A 15,465-nucleotide genomic window follows, 5' to 3' on the forward strand; every position below is an offset into this window, starting at 1 on the left:
ATCCACAAGCCCTTGGCTTCACCCTACTCAGTGTAAAGCAGATCAGAGTTAGGAACAAAAGATTTCTTTTGTCCCTGCTTACACCGAATTAATAAAAATGGTAACACAATCAGAGGCAAACATCTCACAGACTCACTGGATTGGGAAATCTAAGGTGTCCAAAACATAGTGACTCAGATCTCCATCCAATTCAGCCTTACTTTATTAGGTAACAGGGAGTAAAAAAAATTTCTCCTTATTTCAGGCTCAATTCATAACAGATTAGATATTATTTCTACATACCCACAGATATATAAATATAACATATGTGTGTATGGGTATATATGTAAGAAATAGTTCACATTCTATAAACATGTAGAACTTCCATTTCAAAGGGCTCTTGAGTCTGCAAAGCACTTTCACAGGTATAGGCTCATCTGATTTTCTTAACAGTACAGTGGGGTAGGTAAGACAGGTATGATAATCCCTGTTTAGCAGATGAAGAAACAGATGAGGAGAAGTTAGGTACTTGCCAACATCACACAGAGGGTAATAGTGGAGTCAAGACATGCATACATAATCTTATTCAATGCTCTTCCCAAAGGACTGTGTAGTCCCTTAGTGTGCAAATCACCCACGTTTTACAAACAAGTATTTTAGATAAAATTTGAGTTTTGATTGTTATACCTCCCTAAAACTTTATGAAAGCAGCTGAGATTTCAAATCTTTTTTACTTCTAGTTTCTTGCTTTTAGTTGTTAATCACAAGGAGAGATATTGTGTTTTGTTTCACTTGAGTCATTGCCATGTAGATTACTATATTTCAGGGCTAATTTATCACATTCTCAAGCTCATGAATAATAAGTATTCCCATAAGTTATATATTTTACATACTAGACTTAAGCAATGACATGAAATGGAATGACACAAAATCTATTTTTGAAAAAGCTACTCTGAAGATAATAGCATAAAAATCCTAGCTTCTAACAAATCATCAAATTATATGTAAACAACTCAAAAGTGAAATCATGCTGTTAAATGTCCAAGAAAGTTGTATTAGGAAAATAAAATGTCTAATGAAACTAGTTTCTAATTCTTCACTTTGCAAATTAATAGAACAGACTCAAAAAGGAGCCCATTCATTCCACAAAATGACCTTTTTCTAGGCTAGAAATACTAATGTATTAGTGTAACTTAATACACTATTATTAGGCATATTAAAAGTGGTAAAAAGCTAAAGATATACAAACAAACCTCTACCTAAAATGTCATAATTCATGATGTTCTAAAGAAGGTACTTTGATATTAATGAATGTTAGCCAATACAATTCAACAAAAAGCTATACTTAGAAAAAACAAAATCTATATACAAGTGCTAAAGGTTTAACACAAATAATGGGTCAAAAAATGGGCAATCATAAAAATATAGTTGATAAGTGGCTACTGCTTCCCTCTCCTAGGAAAGAATGAAATACCTTAATTTTTCCTGTTTCTTCCGTTGTTTTTCCATGTGTCTAAGAGTTTCCAATCTTGATTCAGGAGTAAACAAACAGGGCTTATTCCAGAATTCCAAGTCATCTTCACTGTTGTCTAATTTCTTTGTGTTGTGTTCCTCTGTGTCTGGTGCCTGTAGGTGGTCTTTGCTCTCTAAAGAGGAACTAGGAAAAACAAATAGAGCACTTAAAAACAATAATGGATTCATGAGCTTCATCCTTAATGCTGGCCCTTTAATATCTATACACTTTTCTTATGTGATCTTCTTACCTTTGAATGACAAAGTGACTCTGAAAGACAGTTTAACCAGGCCTGGTTACCCTGCATGGATATGTAGTGAGATCAACCCAAGGCTGTTAGCACTCATTACATTGAAAGGTTGAATAGGGCAGGCCTTCATCTTCTATCATCAGGAATATTGCTGTAATCAGATTCCAGGGTTCACAGACCTGACTGCTAAGAATCACCTGGGGAGCTTTATAAAAAGTACAGATTCCTGGGCTCTCATCAGAAAGCCTATTCAGTAGATCTGAAGTAGTAGATCTGAAGCCTGGGAATCTGTGTTTTATAATATTTTGCAGGAGATTCTGATGATCAGACAAGAAATCACCCCACTTCTAATCTTGTACCTGTCAATTACACTCTCCACACTACTTCCAGAAGGACTTTTCTAGCAGGCAAATTGGATCACATTATTTCCAGGTTTTTAAATGATTCTCTTATCTCCAAAATTCGCTTGTGGGACCTATGGCACCTTCTTTTTTTTCTTTTTTTTTTGAGACGGAGTCTCCCTCTGTCGCCCAGGCTGGAGTGCAGTGGCCAGTGGTCTCTGCTCACCGCAAGCTCCGCCTCTCGGGTTCACGCCATTCTCCTGCCTCAGCCTCCTGAGTAGCTGGGACTACAGGCGCCTGCCACCACACCCGGCTAATTTTTTGTATTTTTAGTAGAGATGAGGTTTCACCGTGTTAGCCAGGATGGTCTCAATCTCCTGACCTCATGATCCACCCGCCTCGGCCTCCCAAAGCGCTGGCATTACAGGCATGAGCCACCGCACCCAGCCGGCACTTTTTATATTATGGCCTGTGTCTAGTTTATTTTTCATGGATAACTTCTGATTATGTAGCTTTACATGGTAACAGTTCTCTCTTCCCTTTTATTCATGTTTTGTGGACTGTCAGAGAATTAAACAACGTCTCTGTATGTCATCAAATGGGTATTATATGAGATATTCAACATTTGTTCAACATGGATCCAAAATATATTTATTTATTAAGCATCTTCTGTTGTGCCAGGCACCAGAGATACAACCCTGGCCTACATAAACCACGATGCTACTTTCAGGAGATTCTATTCTTGTGGCAAGAAAATGACATCATTTAAGCGATAAACATTAGGTACAGTCTCTCTCCCCTCACCTCTCCCTAGAATAGACACTTTATTAGATGACATCAAATGAAAAAAATTACATGAAGCCTTTAATACAACTACAGCAAATAGTAGGTACTCAATACATGTTGGGTTTTGTTAATGAATGAGGTGACAAGAAAGGCTTCTTTAGCTGATCTTCAAACTAAAGATATTTTCTTCATTTTGAAAGTATCTTTTCAAATATATTTTCTTTATTTTGAAAATATTGTGAAAGATACTTTTCAAAGGGATGAACTGAAAATACTAGAACATGAAATTTAAGTAGCATCAATAGAATATAGAGTAAAATTCTGCTTAGATTCTTTGCAGATACAATGCAACTAAATATTTTAATAAGCAAAATAATGCAAATTGCTGAAAATAAATAAATTGCTTTGCTATACAGCTACAGTTCTTTATGGTATTGAAAGAATAATCTATGAAGGGTATCTATAATATTCTACAATATTCTATATAATTGCCACTGAAATAATTGGTTCCATTCTCATTTAACCATTTAAATTATATTTTTCCTGGAAAGTGACTAATTGGTTCAATCTGGCCTTTTGCAATCTAAAATAATAATTATAAAAACATAAAAATAACAGTACTTAAGAAATTTATCAGAGATATGAGCTAAATAACATAAGTCTCCAAGGCAAAATGCATATAAATGTGTGTAACTGGTTGATGAAACAGAGTGAGCTCATTAGTGTATGATCAAAAAAACTTTCTCTTCAACCATTGCCTTCAAACCTGCTCTCTCAGAACTCTCTTCCCATCCATAAGCAGATCCCACAGCTGTAGAGTCACTTTTAAGAGCAGCATGATCTCAGCTAAACATTCATTTTCAGGTACTAAAGGGTCTAAAGTTTAAATAAAAGTTCAGACCTAAATTTCAAATCGAAGCCATTCCCTCCCCCTCCAACCCATTCTCTCTCCTGGCCCTGTTCCAGATTGGGGTGTGCACGGGAAGAGGGACACCCTCTCGTTCTACTTTTCATTGTCATCCATTCCTTCCTCTGAATCCCATACTACTGGGCCTCTTAGGTTCAGAGTCTTCCTGCCTTGAGAATTTGGGGCTTGGGAAGATGAATGAGGAGAAGAATGTGAACATGCTTATATGACCACTCCTATTATAACCTGGCTGCTGCTACCCTCGCTGGGACCAATATCCAGATACTGGTTTCTCTTCCTGCAAGCACCTTTGTCATTCTTGGAGACACTACAAGAGTCCTCCAAGTGTACTGTTCACTGTAGAGGTGGTCAATATACTTCCTGGCTCCTTTTGTGATAAATCCCCAGCTTCTGCCACTGATAATCCACCCCCTAGTGACTTATTGCTGCTGTCCTCTTGGACAGCATCTCTTCAAGACAGCTCAAACCCAGCCCCTTCTACCATGTCTACTTGTTCTATAAAATATTCACAAATCTGGCTGGGTGGGGTGGCTCACGCCTGTAATCCCAGCACTTTGGGAGGCCGAGGTGGGCAAATCATGAGGTCAGAAGTTAGAGACCAGCCTGACCAACATGGTGAAACCCCATCTCCACTAAAGATACAAAAATTACTCGGGCATGGTGGCACACACCTGTAATCCCAGCTACTCAGGAGGCTGAGGCAAAAGAATCGCTTGAACCCAGGAGGCAGAGATTGCGGTGAGCCGAGATTGCGCCATTGCACTCCAGCCTGGGTGACAGAGTGAGACTCCATCTCAAAAAAAAAAAAGATATTCACAAATCCTTGCCATGTGAAGTGTGAGCTGTTTCCATTAATACCTTCTTCCCTGATCCCTCTGCTTTAGGCTGCTCCAGGCCACTTTCTATCTTTTCAATTCTCCAGGCTGGAGGCAGGCTCTACCTAGTCAAGAGGTAGATGTTCATCTCCCTTTCTTGCAGCCTCTAATTCTCTGTAGTGTTTCTTCTTGAAGCCTTGAGAGGGGAGTAACCTCCTACTCCTCCCCAACTAATTCAATGATTCAGGATTTCAATGATTCTCTCCAGAATGTCTACGTTTCTGTTCAAATAGGCTAAATAGGGTGAGAATGATGAAGACTCAAGGATCAGCCAGGCCTATAAGGGAGGCAAGAAGGCACCTGCAAGAAACCCCACTGTAAGCTTCTACTAAAGTACAAGGAACAGACCATTTTAACTTTTGTAAATTTTTATAAACCAAGGATAGTAAATTATCTCCAAGATATTGTATGTGCCTATTACATAACTTTGATGCAAAACACCAGGAAAAAATACAATCAGACAAGGATATTATAGCATAAACTCACTTATGAACACAGGTTCAAATATTATAAATATTAGCAAAATCAATGGAGCAATGCATTAGCAAATAATCATGGACAAAGGATGTTTATCCTAGAAACTCAAGGATGGTTTAATATTAGAAATTCTATTAATGTAATTCAACACAGTAACAGAAAAACACTATTGTCTCCATAGATTAAAGGAAAGCATTTAATAAGAATCAATATAATGCATGTGATGATAAAAGCTTTTCATCAACTGAGAATAGAAGGAAGCTTACTTAACATGACCCAAAATCCCATAGCAAACATTATACTTAATGATGAGAAATTGCACACATTCTTTTTAAAGTCAGAAACAAGATAACAAGATACAGATACCCATTCTCTTTTTTTTTTTCTTTTTTTTTTTTAAGACGGAGTCTCGCCCTGTTGCCCAGGCTGGAGTGCAGTGGCCCAATCTCGGCTCACTGCAAGCTCCGCCTCCTGGGTTCATGCCATTCTCCGGCCTCAACCTCCCGAGTAGCTGGGACTACAGGCGCCTGCCACCACACCTGGCTAATTTTTTGTATTTTTAGTAGAGACGGGGTTTCACCATGTTAGCCAGGATGGTCTCAATCTCCTGACCTCGTGATCCGCCCATCTCAGCCTCCCAAAGTGCTGAGATTACAGGCATGAGCCACTGCGCCCGGCCCAGATACCCATTCTTAACGCTACTATTCCACTCCATACTGGAGGCCTTTGCAGGCACCATGAAGAAAATAAAGTAGAAGGAGAGGGACAGGAAAAAAATTTTCAAGTTACTCCTTACAAACAATTGTTTTTCCAACTAGAAAATGCAGGATTGCCTCTTTTATAAAGGTTAGCAAGATTAACACAATATCAGTATACAGAAATAATTTGTCCCTTTAAATATCAGCAAAACCAATTACATCTATTTTTAAAATCTCATTCTACAAGATACTTAGAAATAAATACAATGAAAGATGGTTTAAGACTTTTACAGAGAAAATTTAAAACCTCATTGAAGGACTCAGAAGAAGATCTAAATAAATAGAGCTCTTCCAAGGTTCAGCAAGGAAAGAATCAATGTCATGAAGATGTCAACTTTCCCTCAATTAACATATAAATTAAATGTAATTTCAATCAAAATTCCACTAGGGATTTTTAAGGAATTTGATTAGCAGCGGATTCTAAAACTCATACAGACAAGTAAAGAACTAAAAATAGCCAAGATAACTTTGAAAAATGAGAATATCTCCTACCAAATATCAAGATATGCTATAAATCTATACAAATTAAAACCAGGCAGATGTACTCCTATGGAACAGTCTAGAGAGCTCAGAGATGAACCCATGAATACATGGTTAGAAGGGATATAGTAAGGGTAGCATTTCAGATCAGTGGGAAAAGAATAGCACCTTAATCAATGGTGCAGACAATTAGCTACCCATATGAAAAACAATTAGTACCCTACCCTATACATTGGCAAAGGTTAATTCCAGATGAAAAGATACAAACAGATATGGCACTGGGATAAAGAAGAATTCCATAAACAAGACAAAAATGTACAAATAAGTTTAACTACATTAATATTTTTAAACTTCATAAAACATAAGCACTTATAATTAAAGACAAGTCACAGACTGGTAGAAGACACTTGTAAAGCACATAACCACCAAAGAATGTATTTTTTTATTTGTATCCAGAATCTAAAAGAACTCTCAATAAGAAAAAAACTTAACTACTTATTTAAAATAAGTAGGGGACTTGAATAGAGGATACCTGAATAACCAATAAACATATAAAAGATATTTAAAATATTCAAATTCACTAGTAACTACAGAAATGCAAATTAATTTTTTTAAAAATAGAGGATACTATATACTACACAACACACTTGATTGGCCAATATTTTTAAATATCATATTATCCAGTATTGGCAAAGACTGAAAACTCTTGTATATTGTTGATATATGAGTATAAATTATCACAACTACTCTAGAAAACAATTTGGCAATATGTAAAAAGTTGAAAAGATGTCATAATTGTAGCAATGCCATTGCTAAATACCCTGGAGAAACTTTCATACCTGAACAAGGAGACAAGGGCAACATTGCTTGAATATCTCAACAAATGTTCAACATGGATTCAATAAATATTTATTGGGCATCTTCTGTTGTGCCAGGCACCAGAGATACAGCCCTGGCAAAGAGAGACCATGATGCTACTTTCAGGAGATTCTATTCCTGTGAGAATAGGAAATGGGAATAGGGAAAACAACGTGCATGGCCATCCAAAGAGGGATGGCTGTGTCCAGGCTGACCAGCTGGCACCACTAGGAAGACCACATGTGTTGTTAGAGCCGCTGCACATTCTGATGGGTCAGGGCAAATGAAACACTGGTCATTAACTACTTTGAATATTACCTCTGGGATAAATTGTAATTTATTCATCCAACAGGATATTATTCTATACTTACAATGAATTAGTTTTGCATGTCTTCATGTGCGTAAATCTCAAAAACATAATGTTGCATGAAAAGCAAAGCTATAGAAAGGTATCATTCATGCTAAACACACATACTCAAACTACTATTGTTTAAGGAGGCATACTTGTGAAATAAGGGTATTAAAAATATGGATGGGATCAACATATATCAAACACGCACCAGCTTCAGGATAGCAGACGCCACTGGGATGAAGAGAGGCATGGGATGAAGGGGAAGTCTTTAAGGAGTGTCTGCTCTCTTAATGATATTTTATTTCTTATTTAAAAAAAGATCCATCATTCTCAGCAAACTATTGCAAGGACAAAAAACCAAACACCGCATGTTCTCACTCATAGGTGGGAATTGAACAATGAGAACACATGGACACAGGAAGGGGAACATCACACACCGGGGCCTGTTGTGGGGTTGGGGGAGTGGGGAGGGATAGCATTAGGAGATATACCTAATGTTAAATGAAGAATTAATGGGTGCAGCACACCAACATGGCACATGTATACATATGTAACAAACCTGCACGTTGTGCACATGTACTCTAAAACTTAAAGTATAATTTAAAAAAAAGTAAAAAAAAAAAAGATCCAAAGCAAACATACAAACTATTGTCATTTATTAAATCTAGGTGGTAGAACTACAAGCTGCCTATATAACTATTTTCAAACATTTATGTATGTCTGCAATATTTTATAATTATTATTTTCTCAATTTTAAGGGATTCTGTTATCTAAATACTTAATACTTTCACTGTATGGAATCAAATCAACTGACTATAGTTGCAATTCACTTAAAATAAACAAACATGAAAAATTTAATTTTTAAAAAACCAATTAGAGAGTTATTAATCACATTAAAAATGTATTCAGTATTTTTCTGAAATCTATTCCAATTCAGAAAATAGAATGTTTTATGATGCAATTAGAATTATTCAAATTATAATGTGATTTGTATTTAACTTTTCTAAAATATTCCTAGTTCGTAAATCAAAGTACACCTGTTAATTCATCTTTTCTGTACACATTTTACGGATTTCTCTGAGAATAATTTTAGATGCAAATTAAAGTTGCTAGTTTAAAAAGGAATTTTTCCCCCAAGGAAAGAAAGCCTTACAGAATTGTCACAAGCAATGGGATGCTCATATTCTTCCATCCAAAATTCACATCATATTTCATTCTTCAAATTAATCTGGAATATAAGTGTACTGCAAACAACTTGGAAAGAGAATACAGTTTGCTGCTTTTAACAAAAGTTAACTAGAAAGTAAACTAATAATTTACATACAGAGTAGCATTGATGTCTGTGTACCAACGTCCATCAAAGCCTGCGTTACTTCTCTTGTCTTCATTTTTATCCTCTTCTTGGTGTTTCCTCTGAGCCTCTTCCTTGAGTTTGGCTCGTTTAAGACAGTGATCTTTTTCCTGCTCTCTGATTTGTGGTTCAATTACTGAATAGTCCTGCAATGCCTTAATCCTTTCTGAAGGCTCTATTTCTTTACCATCCAACCACTTAAAGAAAAACAATAAATATAGTACAATTGTTCAAAAGTAGCAGTGTGAATCAGCCCCAGGTTGATTTTGATTAGAAATAATAATATACCCGATAGTGATAGAGAATTAAAACAATATAATTAATGGGAAATATCAGAACATTGTTCTAAATTAATGTATATTTCATATAATTTACACAGTTTAAAAAATACCTTTACTAGTAATAATAATAATTAGGTCTGTTAAAACTGATAATTAATACAAGCTCTCAAAATATTTTCTATTAATTTTATAATTGCTCACTATGTCAAAAATGTCAATGCTTAAGTCAAATCATAGCTTCAAAGTACAACAATGGCACTTCCCAAAAGCTCTCTACAGAAAAAAAAGGCCTTGAATATTACACATGATTGGGCTCTAATACAAATGAGCCCATGTTTCACCCTTAACAACAAGACAAACAGATAGGCTATTGTTACAGCATTGTTTACATCTGATACTTCAATTATGATTTTCCAAAGTAAAATATTAAAATAAAAGCATCAACTAAAGTTCTAAAATGTTAAAGCTAACAGTTTAAAGATACCTATTTATCTACCCTGCCTTATTCTGCAAAATGAGGTGAGGTATTTAGGAAGGGGTGGTTGGAAGATAATGGTTCCCCAAGAATGTCCATGTTCTAATCTCCATGAATGTTACCTTACATGGCAAAAGGGGCTTTACAGGTGTGATTAGGTTAAGGATCTTGAATGATCAGGATGATTCTTATAAGGACCACAGAGGTCCTTATAAGTAAAAGAGAAAGACATGAGTGTCAGAGTTAGGGAGAGAGGTAAAGTTGGCACACTGATGTCTTTGGAGATGGAGGAAGAGGCCATGAGCCTAAAAATGCAGGTATCCTCTAGAAGCTGAAAGGGGCAAAGTAAGGGATTCTCTCCTAGAGCCTGAAGAAAGAATAACCCTGCCAACACCTTCATTTTAGCCCAGTGAAACCATTTCAGGCTTTTGATCTCCAGAATCATAAGGTGATACATTTGCATTGTTTTAAGTCACTAAGTTTGTCTCAATTTGTTACAGCAGCAATAAGAAACATAAAAAAGGAAAAAAAAATACACACAAAGATTTAGTCAAATATAAATTAAAAAATTATTAGAATCAGCTGAATTATAAGTCAAAATTATGTAGAGATTTGGAAAAAAGATAATGCCACATATGCTCTGGTCATAAGGACTCATATGGTTGCTATAGATGGGCTGCAGATTTGGTTCTGAGCTTCTTGGCAGCCAAAGCGAAATAGAAAAACATAACTAGTTACACAATTTTCATGGTCTTTAAGGAAAAAATAAAGTTTGTAGCTTTCCTCTAACATGCAGCTCTAAAACACATTTCTAGCACAGAGTTTCATAATGGAGATATTGAGAGATGTCAAGCATTGTTTCTGTAGAAATATGGCCATACAGTCACAGGTTTCATAAGGCTGTTTCTTGTAGTATCCTTCAATAAAGGTATCTTCATACCATTACTTATGAGACCATAATGATAAATTCAATGCAATAAAACCTATTATTTAAGGCATTAAGTAATTGTGGTCCACATACTTAATTTGATCTAATTTAATACAGGATTGGGATCAAATCAATTTGGAAATTTTTGGATAAATGAAATTTACTTATTTTGTAAGTATATATAAGTAAATACACTGATATAAATATATGAATCAACATAAAAGTAAATATATTTATATATAACTAATACTATATAAATAAAGCACTTTCATAAATTTCTGTTAAGTCATCCAGTTTGTGGCACTTTGTTATATTAATTTATATAGTATAATTTATATATAAATATATATTAACATAAATACATTATATATAACTGTATATTATAACAAGCTAGAAAACTCTAGATAATTTCTTTCAACTAGGATTTCTTCCCAACAGAACCCTGGGGAGCAAGGTGATCTTTTCTTCCTTGTAATTGAAGTACATTAATTGATTGATTGATTGATTGATTTCTGTCTTATAAATGATGTAAGTCTATTTTGATTTAATTAGAACTACATTCCTAAAAGGCTATGACAACTGAACCCTCTGTCACTTTACTGACAGGAGGCAAAAGACCTCATATTAATAACTGATGACAAATTTGGGACTGTACCCCAGCACCTATTCTAGGAACCTCACTTTTTTAGTGATTTCTGTTAGTCTTTGAAATTGGCCCACATTTCCTTCAATCCAAAATCATGTCTGAGTTTAGAAGGCCTAAGAATCAGAGATCCAGTTTTAAGCTGAGCGTTTCTTGATCTTTCTTCACCCAGGATTCCTGCAGCACAAAGGTGGAGTGTCCACACTTATTGATAATAACTGTGCAAGTGCTGAAGCAGAGAGAGGGACACTAAGATGTACTGAAGGCCTCACAGAACTCCCTTGAAGTAGGAATTATGATCCTACTATACATGAGTAAAATGAGGCACACAATTCACAGGCAGTGGAAGCAGGGGTCAGACCTTGGTTTGTCTGCTAACAAATCTGTTTCCCACTATACTGCAGGGCCCACCTACTTCTGGAGTGGCTCAGACACTGGGAAGAAAAACCTTGAAAAGGGCTGACTCTCCTCACACCTCTTCTATGTGACTATCTAAAATAACTACTCTGTTGTTTTGGGTTGAATTGACAAAAAAAGATGTTGAAGTCCTAATCCCCAGTAGCTCAAATCATGGACTTTTGGGAAATAGGGTTATTATAGATGTCCCCTGACAAAAAAAGATGTTGAAGTCCTAACCCCCAGTAGCTCAAATCAGGGACTTTCTGGAAACAGGGTCACTATGGATATAATTCACTGAGACTAAATTATCCTGGAGCAGGTGGGCCCCAAGCCAATATGACTGGTGTCTTTATAAAGAGTCTTGTGAAGAGGAAGGCAGAGACCCTCAGGGTAATGTGTCTACAAGCTCAAGAATGCCAAAGATTGGCCAGCAAATCAGCAGAAGCTAGGAGGGAGGGCATGAAGCAGATTCTCCCTCGCAGCCCCTGGAAGGAACCAGTCCCGTCAACATCTTGAACTTGAACGTCTGGCCTTCAGAACTACAAGATGATACATTTCTGTTGTCTAAGCCATCTAGTTTGCAGTACTTTGTTACAGCAGCCCTAGGAAAATAATACATTTATTAACACAATTCCTTTTAAGCAGCTCACAAGCTTTCAATGAAATGGTAATTAAGACTCTAAAGCATATCAACCTATTTTTACATAGTAGTAAACATATGAATACCATTTTTCAAAAAGGGGCTGTTTTCTATTGAAGCAGTTAATTTGGAGAAGTCTTTCTGAAAGGAAAGACTTGATCCAAAGCCTATAATTTAACCCGGAGAGAAGCAGTGAATGTGGGTATAGTGTGAATGGTGGAGGCATCAAGGTCCGACTCACATAGGTTCAGATCCCACCTGTGTCACTTGCCAGATATGTCAGCCTAAACAAGCAGTGTTCATTCCCTGAGCCCTGACTTCCTCATCTCTGAATGTACCTAATTGTCTCCCTGAATGGGTCTGGGAGGATCAAAAACACTGTGCCCAAAGTACCTGGCACAACCTCTGACCCTGTCTGCAGCAGCCATATGATGGCTCTCACACCTCTAGCCTGACCAGGCTCAGCTGCAGCACTGACACAGGCTCAGCTGCGGTGGCCATGAGGACTCCTGGACCCTTAGCCCTTCCAAGGGAACGGCTCACAGCATTACACTACAAGATCTAGTCCTATGATAGTCTGGGTCTCATCAGTTCATTTTCTAGGAAATCACTGTATAATAATGATCAGTTTAGGTTATGTATGAGACAATTTATCATTTATTCTATATTCAATTACTTGAATCACTCATTCTCTTAATCTGAGAAATTTTACATTAGAAGAAATGTGTTCCATTAATCCAGCAGTCAGCAGTCTCTTGACTGCAGAGAACACAGAAGTCTAAGAAACAAACGTCCTTTGAGAACTGAAAAAATGCCTATTGAACAGGCGATGTATCCATGCATTCTCTTTCCAGGAACATGGAGCCACATGCAGGCTGGGAACTCTTAGAATTACATGAAACGTAACATTGCTATCTTAATATTCTCTGTTGTATGATTTCTCAAGAAATAATATTTTTTCCTCAGTTCTAAAATTACTCGATTGGGGGGATATGGTATAAGAGTAACATACGCAGTAGTGGTTGTCAAATGAGGTTCCTGCACCAGCAGCAGAATTACCAGATTTTGTTAGAAATGTGAAATCTCAGGCCCCATGTCAGACCTGACCCAGAAACCCTGGGGGAGGAGCACAGCAGTCTGTGTTTTGAAAAGGCCTCCACGTGCTCTGATGCACACCAAAGACTGTGAACCTGCCGGGCACGGTGGCTCATGCCTGTAATCCCAGCACTTTGGGAGGCCGAGGCAGGTGGATCACCTGAGGTCAGGAGTTCAAGACCAGCCTGGCCAACATGGTGAAACCACATCTCTACTAAAAATACAAAAGTAGGCAGACATGGTGGCACATGCCTGTAATCCCAGCTACTTGGGAAGCTGAGGCAGGACAATCACTTGAACCTGGTAGGCAGAGTTTGCAGTGAGCCGAGATCGTGCCACTGCACTCCAGCCTGGGTGACAGAGTGAGACTCCATCTCAAAAAAAAAAAAAACAAGTAATAATGAATTCTTATCAGTAATGATGAATGTTCTTCGTAACTATGATTTGAACTCATTGAGAAAAAGTCAAATTAAGTTCTGTGTGTTTTGGATGAGAAAGGTGAAAAGTATGCAATTTATTTTTCAGGGATTTATTAAAACTATTCAAACAATATTAAAGGTCTAGCCATTCAAATAATTACTTTGGGCTCTCTGGAATATTCCATTATCTGAAGCAACACATTCACTGTTGCTGCCAGTAAAGCAGGAATTATTGTAGTTGCTCATGCTCATTTATCTGTGATTTCTGCACCATTAAAAGAACCATACCTTTAATTGTGGAAGAGTTGCTACCACGAACTCCCTATAGTGGTCAAAGGAAGCACATGGGTTCCCCATGAGAAAGAGCTCCTTCAGATGGATATTGTGCTGCAAGTTTTTAATGCTGCTCAGCTCTCCAATGAAATTCACAGTCAGGTCAAGTTTTGCCAGCTCTTCACATCCTGTTGAGAAAAATAAAGTGAAAACAAAGCAAACAAAGAAAAATCACACTGGTAACAAAACGTGTGTAACATCACATAACAGAAGTAACAGTTGTAGTATTTTCAGTCTGCTGATTTATTGCATTGCTCACCATGAAGTGATTCTTCAGAAATATCAACTCAAAGGCTTCATCTTAACTCATTTTTCTATCTCTGTCTCTCCTTATTTTCACCGTCTGAGTCCTTCCAGCCAGGGGAAATCACTTTCCCTGCTCACACTTACAAGGCTGGTTAATTTTTCTGATTTGGTCACTATCTGGCATGAAAAAAGGAAAAGTAAAAGCTGCTACTATACTTTTCCAGTGGATGCTACCTCAGAACAAAACTCCTACTACAGAGGGCACCTGGAACCTGTCCTCTTGAGTTTTAGCAGGTAGGTGGGACATATTTCATCTTGGAGGGTGATAGTGGAAAGATTCTCCAAAAAGAAAGGCATTTCATAAAACCAGCGCATCCAAACCAATATTTGCAAAGTCACCTAGCAGAGAGAGAATGGCTCTAAGGCCACCAAGAACTGAACTGAAGGTATTAACAAAAGTGAAGAATAAGACGTTTTGATGTTCAAAGGAATAATAGAAAAAGGGTGAGTCACTGAAGTAGGGTTTTATAGTAAATCTGACCCATCCACCTTCATTACAGAGATAGCCAGATGCTATAGAAACTTGAATGGAATCTAAATTTGAATTTGAATTAATCCCCTCATTCACATTCCATGCAAATTTGGAGGCTAGGAGTCCAGACTTGGGAATTAGACAGATACAAGTTCAAGTGCTTCCTCTACCTCATCCTTGCTAATGTGACCTTGGGTAAGTTACAAGCTTCAGCCTGCTCATCTATAGAATTATAATAGTATTGGTACCAGAGTCAGAAGTTGCGAAGATAATATACGATGACTCATGTAAAGCGCTTAGCATAATGCTTGCCACCTAGAGTGTCAGTAAACATGAGCTATGATTAGAATAGCTCAATGAGCACTCTAATTACCATATGACTTCTCGGACAATGTACCTATGTGGAAAGAAGCAAGCACAGCTGTCTCATGAGCAGAAACCTTGCAGTTTCTTTCTATGAGCTAAGAAGAGTTGACCTAGTTTATGCAGCAGCCTTTGGGGGCTTGGTTCAATATAAGATTATCTC

At 37.1% G+C, this 15,465-nt stretch overlaps 1 protein-coding gene across 26 annotated transcripts in view; it reads right to left on the reverse strand.

Annotated features, from left to right (window-relative positions):
* The window catches only part of DNAAF11 (dynein axonemal assembly factor 11), a 132,498-nt gene that overhangs the window by 53,403 nt on the left and 63,630 nt on the right, over nucleotides 1-15,465 (reverse strand). For 17 of the 26 annotated variants that reach the window (NR_073525.3, XR_007060728.1, XM_011516950.3 and 14 more), the window contains 3 exons: nucleotides 14,117-14,289; nucleotides 8,922-9,145; nucleotides 1,454-1,636 (listed from right to left, as the gene is read on the reverse strand). Coding sequence is in view for 15 of the 26 variants with exons in the window: in XM_011516950.3 (XP_011515252.1) it covers nucleotides 1,454-1,636; nucleotides 8,922-9,145; nucleotides 14,117-14,289 (580 nt within the window). In the remaining 11 variants the exon portion in view is untranslated. The remainder of the gene's footprint in view (nucleotides 1-1,453; nucleotides 1,637-8,921; nucleotides 9,146-14,116; nucleotides 14,290-15,465) is intronic. The other 9 variants (NR_135908.2, NR_135906.2, NR_135907.2 and 6 more) reach the window with 1 other exon arrangement.

Source organism: Homo sapiens, chromosome 8 (genome assembly GCF_000001405.40).
Source record: "Homo sapiens chromosome 8, GRCh38.p14 Primary Assembly".
Taxonomy (NCBI): Eukaryota; Metazoa; Chordata; class Mammalia; order Primates; family Hominidae; genus Homo; species Homo sapiens.